Source organism: Homo sapiens, chromosome 14 (assembly GCF_000001405.40).
Source record: "Homo sapiens chromosome 14, GRCh38.p14 Primary Assembly".
Lineage (NCBI taxonomy): Eukaryota > Metazoa > Chordata > Mammalia > Primates > Hominidae > Homo > Homo sapiens.
The window spans coordinates 58,555,215-58,565,223 of record NC_000014.9 but is presented as its reverse complement, the minus strand read 5'-3'; the positions used below and the strand labels follow the sequence as shown (position 1 = coordinate 58,565,223).

The following is a 10,009-nucleotide window of genomic DNA, read 5'->3' as shown; positions in this document are numbered from 1 at the left end:
ACCCCACAGGAATCCACTCGTTCCTAGTTAACAAAAAGCCCTCTGATCACTTACAATCACACAAAAAACAAATCACAAAAACAGAAATGTCCACTTTTACCTAATAGTGAGAATCTGAGCTGCATTTAAGAGAACTTTCTCCTCGCGGAGAGATCAGGGCTCTGCAGCAGGAAGACCTGCAGTGGAGAAAATCCTTCTCCATTTCTCTGTCTTCTCCTGCTTCTGCTCTCCCCGACTCACTAGTCTGGCTCTGGCTCCCGGAAGGTTGTAAGGTAAGAGAAGTGAAAGAAAAAGGCCATGGAAGATCTTCCTTGACTATCATCAATTTCATCTGGGGTTGATTTCCTCAGGCTGGATAGGTACTTTAAGCTGATCCTCCCTAAACTAGGTGAATGGTTAAAGGTGACCACTTTTCTTAGGCCGCATCTTTGGGTTCTTCAGAGATCATGGTAGGAACATCAGACTATAATTCTCTTTTATTTTTCCAATAAAGGTCTTTTACTGCATCATTCAAATATCACAAATAGGTTTTAGGAATCATCTGGCATCTCATTTCTGTAGGTGGACAACTCTTGGGTCTTATTCATCAGCCTGTTGAACTGTTTTGTTTTTCAGAAATACAGATACAATCCAAAAATGTTCTGAAATCCTTGTTTTTAACGGCTGTGGCTTGCCGAATCAAAGCAGCTGAATTTGAAACAAGCTCAATGTTATTTCCTTCAAGGATTAACTCACCTTTCTGGGCTTGAGATACTGAATAAGCAACACCCGGCCTCATCCAAACCCCTTTCATGTATTTTTCACCCAAGAAATTTTGGATGTCAATAAGAGACCCATTCTCCTGATAACAACGTTGTTGGGGAATTGAGCATACACAGAGCTTGCCTTGTAACGGAAACCCAGTGTAACACCCTTGATCATGTTCTGTGCGTGACTACAAAGAGTGTGAATGACAGCCAGTTCCTATTTTCCTACCATTTGTCAACCCAGAGCCTCTTCTTTTTCTTTCCAAGAAGACTGAGTTCTACAGTCATATTGTGATTGAAGTCCCTCTGCAGGGTTCCTCTGGAGCTCTTCACAATAACTGTTCATCCCTTTCAGAGTGATGTCAACATTCATTACTGAGAATGGCCTTCATTCTTGCTATAGACATGGCAAAAAAACAAAAAATTATACCATGATTGTCTTAACATGAGTAATGCATTTCCCTCTGGCTGTTTTATTTCTTTCTTCAGCCCCAGGGAATTTAGTGGTCCAACCCCTGGTCGGGTTCACTTCACCCCTCTAGGCAGTCCTCTTGGGCTGATTTTATTTATTTAGACCAGATCTTGATCTGTTACCCAAGCTGGAGGGCAGTGGCATGATCACAGCTCACTGCAGCCTCGACCTCCCAGGCTCAGGCGATCCTCCTGCCTCAGCATCCAGAGTAGCGGGGACCACAGGCACACACTGCCAAACCCAGTTAATTTTTAAATCATTTTGTAGAGATGGGGTGGGGGTTGGAGGGGGGGGTGGTCTCCCGATGTTGCCTGAGCTGGTCTCGAACTCCTGGCCTCAAAAGATTCTCCCACCTCGGCCTCCTAAAGTGCTGAGATTACAGGCATGAGCCACTGTTCCAGGCCATTGGGCAGATTTTAAATATCTCTAGCAGGGCTGCCTCTCACATTACCCACTTCTGGTCCAAGAAAAAAGCTCACACTTACTCTTGCATCTTCCTCTCCCTCTCGGTGGGATGTGTGGCAAATTCCTAAGCTGCAAAGATGCTGTCACTCTCTCCACCCTGCTGCTTCAGGGGAATAGCCATAGCATCTCATCTTTAGATTCCTGAGACAACAGTCTAGTGGGTCCTTAAACTCTTGGGGCACAAGCTCTCCAAGTGGTCTTCTTGCTGCTCCTTCCACTGGGCTCTATCAAACTGGCCACCACAAGCCAACCCTCCTCCAAGAAATTCTCTCTACTATCCAGCGGCAGCCTTTTCTGTGTTTGAGGTGGGTGTCGGGCTTCTGGTCATCATTATGCCATTTGTAGACCCCTGTTAGTTTTCCAGCAACTCATTTTGGAATGGAGGCATACCTACCATCTATTGCCTGGGACTTGGACTGGGAAAGACTTCATCTTATTTACCGGTGATGGAAAGATTCATTTATTCCACAGTAAGCACCTGGGCCCTCCTAGCCATTATCTGTGCAGCTGCCATACCCAACCTCAGTCCCAGAATGCCTTGCTGCACTGCCTGCACCCTGTGGGCTGAATGTTGGGAATTCACTTGGACTAAAGGAAACAAGAAAAAAATCACAGCAAAATTAATTTTCTTTGGGAAAAAAGTTCACTTTCTTGGCCTTTCTCAAACAGACTCCAAGAGATACCTGAGTTGCCTTAAGAGGCTCACAAACCCAACATTCACACAAGCCGACCCCTATCTCATCCCTGAAACAGACACATAAATGGGCTCCCCCAGCTGCTCCTCTCTGAGGCCTCCACCACTTGTTTTAATGACTTTTATTTTGAACTACTCTGTACCAATTGAAAGTCACAGCCAATAACTCGGGCCAATCTTGGCCACGGAGTGCCAGCCATTATGGCTTAACTTTTATGGAAAGAAGACCTCTGAGGCCAGGTGAGCTTTAATTACACCTCTTTTGTTAGTTCAGAGTTTCATGTTATGCCAAGAAAGCATTAGCCTCATACCTTGTTTATACTAGAGAGGAATAAGGGGGCAAAATTGCTCCTTTTCCTTTATTTCCAAATCACTCTTTTTTTTAATAGGTTAAAGTTAACTTCTTATAAAACCTTCACAATACAACATCATGCTTAAAAAAAGAGAGTCTCAGGTTCTTGGCACCGAGCATTGCCAGCACTTTACGGTTAGATTTTTCCTCTTAGCTAGCTGTTCCTTTCCTTTCAGCAGGAATGCTTTCTGGTTTTTATAGCTAAATGGGATGAGAGAAGCAAAACAGCAAGAGGTATTCATATAGTCATGTTACATTAAATTTCTCTAACATAGAGTTCCATTAGAGTTTCTTTCTTACTTACAGAATACCATTGTGTATACATTAGGATTTCAGTCCCCCAAAGCAGGCCTGCTTACAAGAAATAGGAGATTAAAGAACTGATGTCTCTATAGAAAAAGAAATAACATGTCAATTGTGTTTATTTGTTGGGTTACATGATTTATGCTTTCTCATGTGAAGATGGAACAGAGAAAAGGAGACACGTGACTTTGTTTAGATAATTCCCAAGGAAAGTTGGAGTCCCTCCTTCATGAAAAGGGTTGCCTTTCATTTAAAATATAAATGGTACTGACGGCTTATGGGGAAGAAAAAGATTTCTTGTGTACGAAATGAATTCAAGATGCATCTAATTTAGTCTCCAGAGGAGGAGGCTATTTAGCATTCTAAGAGAAAAAGAAAAAAAAGTGAAATGAAGGAAGACTCCCATGAAACAGGAAATTTAAGGGCCCTTTCATGAAACTTTATGTTCATATAGATGTGAAAAGGAACAATGCAATTTGAGTTTAAAGTATCCATTTAAAATTCTTTGGTTACCCAGGACACATTTCAGCCTCACCTCACTTCTCTATATCTTAATTAATTCTCATCCTAGGTGGATAATTAAATAAAATAATAATACTCGGCAAAAGCTTTAGAAAACTCTAAAATGAAAAAAGAAAGTATGTTAATAAAGTTTCCAAATAGATGTTCTCTTATCTTGTTTTCCTATTGGAAAAATAGGTGGCAAAGAAGGGCCAATTCTAACTCTACTTATATAATTTGTGATTTCACAAGGCTACAAATTAGTGCATGCAATTAACATTAATGAGTATCAAAAAAACCCTTCTGTGTATTAAAAGACTATGGTCTTGCACTAGATGTTCATTTTTTCTTTAAAATCTTCATCGCTGCTTTGGAGGAATTATATTTTAAAAGAGAAATCCAGATGTAAATGTATAGCAAGAAAAAGGAAAACCAACTAAAACCAAAACTGTTTATTGACTGTGCTTCAGAAGAGAAAAATCTCAACACACACACACGCTTTCTCTGTGGATTAATGTGACTGCAATAATCATGCAGTGAAAGTGATGATATAATGATGTACTTTCTAAAAATCTATTAGGGGACAACTTGTCAACTTTAGCACTTGGAAAATGGGAACCACATTCCATCACTCCTATATAAGCCCTTCTGTGGACAGTCTCCCTGCCCTAACCCACAGGCCTTTAATTCAGCAACAGAATGAGGCTGTTAATTCTTTGGGAACTATATGCCCCTTTTCTTATTGGGAAGTTTAAAGTCCCTGAAACTTGTCGTACATTCATCTTACAAGCAAGAGCTTTGTTTACAACATATAATGATAAAAGAATCTTAGTTTAATGCCAAGAACCAGATTATTGCCTCAAAAAATTAGCTCCCAAAGGAGAAAGATTCTTATTAAAAGGGGAGGATTTCAGAGTCACTTTAGAACGGTACCTCTGGGTGTTATTTTTCAGGTATCATAAAGCATTTGAATTCAGCTGCTTTTTGATCCAAGTAAAACACTGCTAAAGATAAGTGAGGTTTGTTTCCTGAGTTAAGGACATCTTTAAGTGACAGATGCAAGACAATAAAAGGCCTTTTTCAGGCTCATATAAACTGAAACAACGAGAAACAAATTTCAAGACTGCTGAGAGATTGAGAAACCTCACAGGACACCTCGCATTTAACACATTTTCAATGGACTTCAGACTTCCTGGCTGTTCCTGAACTATTTCCTGTGAAGTAAGACATCATATATCAGTGTCAAAATGCACTTCAGCTGATACTTTCCACAGCTCTCAGACAAGTCCTCAACAATCCGGCATACATGAGAACCAGCCTGTGAAAGAGGAGGCAATTTTACCATGTGAATGATCTCACCATTACTCAGCTGTGCATATGCATTCATTCATTTGTTCACTCAAGAAACATGTGAAGTTTCCTGTCCTCTAGTAATGGTTCCCAATCCCAGCTAACCATCAGAATCACCTGGGCCCTCCCACCAGCTGTTGGTTTGGTGGGTATGGAGTGGGGCCTGTGCATCTTTTTTTTTTTTTTTTTTGAGATGGAGTCTTGCTGTGTTGCCCAGGCTAGAGTGCAGTGACACAATCTCAGCTCACTGCAACCTCCGCCTCCCAGGTTCAAGCGATTCTCCTGCCTCAGCCTCCCGAGTAGCTGGTATTACAGGCGCGTGCCATCATGCTCAGCTAATTTTTGTATTTTTAGTAGAGACGGGGTTTCACCATGTTAGTCAGGCTGGTGTCAAACTCCTGACTTCATGATCTGCCCGCCCCAGCCTCCCAAAGTGCTGGAATTACAGGCGTGAGCCACCGCGCCCGGCTGGGGCCTGTCCATTTTAGTTTTTAAATGCTCCACAGCCAGATTTGGAACCACTCCTTTTGTATTTCATGATCTCATTGATGAGAGGTTTACAGGCAGCGGGAAACCATCTTTATTCTCTAAATTCTTGAGCTACCTCTTCATCCTGACATCCTATTCTGCTCCTCTCTTGTTACTGAGTTCCCAAGGCTTCTCAGGCCAGGGCCAGTGGTGGAAAGATTGGTGATGGACAGAGGAAAGAGAAAGAAGGAGAATAAGGTTTAAAAATGAAAATGTGCTTCTATTCCAGCTGCCAGGAATGGTGAAATTCCTTATGCCAGACTAACCCTCCTGCCAGTAACAATTATAAGCTCTGGACAAAATATAAAAACCAGTTGTTTGAAAGCACTGGAGAATGACCAAAAGCAAGCAGAAACTGAGAATACTTACACTTTGAAAGGAGGAACACAGTTGGTGAGATCCACATTTATCCAGGGCACTTCCCATTGCCTGTGTGCATGGATGACACACTCATGCAGCAGTGACAGTGTTGCTGGGCTTGGAGGTCAGAACAAGTATCCAGAGCTCCCAGAAAGGCTAAAAATTGAGCAGAAAAATCGCATAAAGAAGAGAGCTACAGATGGGGGGATCCCCAATATCTGCATACAGACTCTCTCAAATTCTTAGCTAATAGGTGAACTGCACATGTGCTGGGTGAAAATCCAAGGAATCCAGTGGAAAGCAACACCTGGAAGCCTGAAAGAGATGTCAACAGTTCCCTGATACTGGAAGGACAGAGTTTAGGATTCATGTCCTTCCAATCTAGAAGGGCTTGGTAAACAACTTGAATATTCCACTGAAACCTTAGGACTATAGCTTAAGAATAAGGACCGCATCCAAAGGCTAAGAACTGTGCTTATTTATGCTGACCTACTAAGATTCAGATTGATCCTTATAAATTCCTGTCTAAATTACCTAAGACTTACTCAAACCTGAAGAGATATCAGGGGCCAATCCATTCTATTGTTGTTGTTGTTGCTGTTAAGAACAAGGACTACTTCTACTTGTACCGGTCCTTGCAATGCTCAGATTTCTGATTAATAAACCTAACGGGAAAGACTATAGATTTGTTTAAAACCTCAGAGCAATCAATAGAATTATGATTCTTAGATTCCCAGTGTTTCCTACCCAAATACTATCTTGTCTTCCATTCCCTCCATGAGTCAATGTTTTATGGCAGTGTGTAAACACGCAGCTTTATTTTAGTAGCCAGTAGTTAAAGAGATTCAGTGCTTGCTTGTTTCATATGCAAAAATCATCAGACTTGAGGACCTGTGAAATCACCTTCATATTTTTCTCAATGTCTAAGTAAATGATCTTAAGGATCTAAGTATTCCATGAAGATCCACCCTTATACAACAATTTATTGCTGTGTTCTCCTGCTATAAGACTTCAATTATTTCTTAATGAAATTGGCAGAAAAGGGACATAAAATGTCAACTGAAAAGTTACAACTCTACCTGAAAATTTCTAACTACATCATTTCAAAAGATCTACAAAATTTGAAATGACATGATTTTGGGTATGATCAGTCTGTAGGCAGATACTCTCTGTTATCCTCCAGAATGAAAACTATTTCATTTTATCTAAGCTCCCAAAATCAAAGGCAATTAAGATTTTCAGGGCCTGGTGCCGTGGCTTGCCACTGTAATCTCAGCACTTTGGGAGGCCAAGGCGGGCGGGTCACTTGAGGCCAGGAATTTGAGACTAGCCTGGCCAACATGGTGAAACCCTGTCTCAACTAAAAATACAAAAAATTAGCTGGGCATCGTGGCACGCACCTGTAGTCCCAGCTCCTCAGGCGGATGAGGTGGGAGAATTGCTTGAACCCGATAGGTGGAGGTTTTAGTGAGCCAAGATCACACCACTGCACTCCAGCCTGGGCAACAGAGCAAACCCTGTCTCAAAAAAAAAAAAAAAAAAAAAAAAAAAGATTTCTCAGGATTGCCCTTACAAGAGCTTTCTAAGACATGATTACAGACCCCTCACATGGGATGAAAAGGCAGAAAAAGTCTTCCTCTCTCTGAAGGTCTCCCCCAGCAACTCTACACTTTGTATATCCCTAACTATGCCAAACAGAGGAAAGACAAAGCTGCCTAATAGGAGCATTAATTTGGCTGAGAGAAGCTTCACACCAGTAGTGTATTGGCTCTCTGAACAAATCTCTCAGTCTGGTGGCTACAATGTACTCTCCCTGCCTAGCATTAATTGGGCTGAGAGAAGCTTCACACCAGTAGTCTATTGGCTCTCTGAAATCTCTCGGTCTGGTGGCTACAATGTACTCTCCCTGCCTACACCGGCGGGGTGCAGCAGCTCAGTGGTCAGAGCTCCAGCAGCAGGCTGACTAGCGCTTACTGCTGCACCAGCTTTTTGCATTCCACATACTGTGCAGTCCCTGTTACTTCTAGGCAGCACTCAGCATTTCTCTGTCAGCTGCCTCACTGATGATGAAATCCTTCCACTGTCCACCTCACAATTGCACATCATTAAGATTTTAAACCCACCATTGACTCCCTCTTCTATATAAGGAGGAATCCATGACTGTGGTACCTGGGGGATTAAGAATGCCCAGCTCCTACTAAACACATGCCTACCCTATTACCCAGAAATGCATCCAAGACAAATCAGTCCATCTGTCTACTAAAATAAATGCACAGCAATATTTATAGCAGCTTTATTCATAACAGAAAGTGGTAACACCCCAAATGTCCATCAACAGTAGAATTAATTAATGAATTGTGGTATAGTCACACAATGGAATGCCACACAGCCATAAAAAACAACGAACTGGCTGAGTGTGGTGGCTTATGCCTGTAATCCCAGCACTTTGGGAGGCCAAGGTGGGCGGATCACCTGAGGTCAGGAGTTTGAGACCAGCCTGACCAACAGGGAGAAACCCCGTCTCTACTAAAAATACAAAATTAGCCGGGCGTGGTGGCACATGCCTGTAATCCCAGCTACTAGGGAGGCTGAGGCAGGAGAATCGCCTGAACCCAGGAGGTGGAGGTTGCAGTGAGCCGAGATCGAGCCATTGCACTCCAGCCTGGACAACAAGAGCCAAACTCCGTCTCAAAAACAAACAAACAAACAAACAAAAACTACAAAAATATATATGAATATCACAGATATTATACTTACAAAAGAAACTAGAAAAAAGAGTACATACTCTGTAATTCTACCTACATGAAATTCAAAAATAAACAAAAGTAACTGATGGTGATAGAAGTCAGAATGGTGGTTACTTCTGGGGGAAGAGGGGTGTGTATTGACTAGGAAAGGGGCACAAGGGAACCTTCTGGGTTGCTAGGAAGTGTTGTAGTTCTACTTGGGAGCTATTACACAGGTATGTATAGACAAAAGTAGAAATTCATTGAGCTCTCCACTAGATTAGTACTTCACTATATAAATTATATTTGCAGTAGAAAGTAAAAACTAAACACACAAGAATGCCCAGATCAAATCTTAGTCAATTCTGACTTAATACTATTTGTAGATGACTTACCTTAAAATAACAAAGGCATTTTCTGTACAGAATACTCTGTTGATACCTAACATGCAGCTATCAAAGCTGCTCCATGGGCTAATGTTCAGTCTGCCCAAGTGGATGAATGAATGCCTCTGACTTGGTCTTGCACTTTGGCAAAGAAGAAATTGTAAACACTAAACAGACAGTAGATATGCATTTGGAATTGCTCATAACTGTGGGATGTTAAAGAAACAAAGTGGATATTTTTACTTTTTAAGTTACTCTGATTGAAAATGGTAAAGACACTAAAACTACTAAAAATGGTAAAGACATTGAAAATGCATTATAAGCTATTCAATATGAAAAATATGTGTCAGTTAAGTTAGAAACTCACAAACTACTACACTGAAAACCAATGACAATGCCTTTGCTAGCTCAAATGCTAAACAAGTAGCTTTTATTACCCCAACTACAAAGAGTTCCATCAAATTGACATCTATCCCCACTTGGAAGGAAAATTGTCTCAATTTAGACAAGCTATAATTGGCTCATAACAATCAATCCAGCCTTCTGAGAAACAATATTGGCAGTTACAGAGACATTTTCTTCATAAAGCTGGGTGCTGGCAGTCTCTGACAGCAGCCTGGGAGTGGCATGATCCATCAAATGGATGCTAACTTGACCCATGATTTTTTGCATCATGAAAGAATCAAATTAAGCTCCATGGTAAATAAATAATGAAAAAAATCAAAATTCGATCAGGAAGTGGTAGAATAATGTCTCATCTATAACTAACATAACCCAGTTATAACCGAAAAGGTAAAACAAAATAAACTCCTCAAAGCCCTTTCAGAATTTACAAATGGGTTTTATGCAACTATCCAGGTCATTAAGTTATAAATATATATTAGTAGTAGTCTGTTATCAGGATGGATAGAACCTGTTCCTTGATGAAAAGCTACAGATGGGCCAGGTGCGGTGGCTCACGCCTGTAATCCCAGCACTTTGGGAGGCTGAGGCAGGTAGATCACTTCAGGTCAGGAGTTCGAGACCAGCCTGACCAACATGGTGAAACGCTGTCTCTACTGAAAATACAAAAATTAGCCAGTCGTGGTGGTGGGGCCCTGTAATCCCAGTTACTTGGGAGGCTGAG

At 41.4% G+C, this 10,009-nt stretch overlaps 1 protein-coding gene and 1 pseudogene across 1 annotated transcript in view, besides 1 other annotated feature; both read right to left on the bottom strand.

Moving 5' to 3' along the window:
- Positions 486 to 1,166, bottom strand: RPL9P5 (ribosomal protein L9 pseudogene 5; annotated as a pseudogene).
- The window catches only part of KIAA0586, a 134,691-nt gene continuing 127,815 nt past the window's right edge, over positions 3,134 to 10,009 (bottom strand). The window contains exons 30-31 of the mRNA XM_047432009.1: positions 5,781 to 5,927; positions 3,134 to 4,851 (exon numbers count right to left, since the gene is read on the bottom strand). Coding sequence (XP_047287965.1) covers positions 5,818 to 5,927 — 110 coding nt within the window. The 3' untranslated portion in view covers positions 3,134 to 4,851; positions 5,781 to 5,817. The remainder of the gene's footprint in view (positions 4,852 to 5,780; positions 5,928 to 10,009) is intronic.
- Positions 7,146 to 7,646: an enhancer, noted in NCBI's record as "H3K4me1 hESC enhancer chr14:59024296-59024796 (GRCh37/hg19 assembly coordinates)". NCBI's record gives its function as "activates a minimal SCP1, AML or CMV promoter by ChIP-STARR-seq in naive H9 embryonic stem cells {active_cell/tissue: H9 hESC(naive)}" and the evidence as "EXISTENCE:reporter gene assay evidence [ECO:0000049][PMID:30033119]".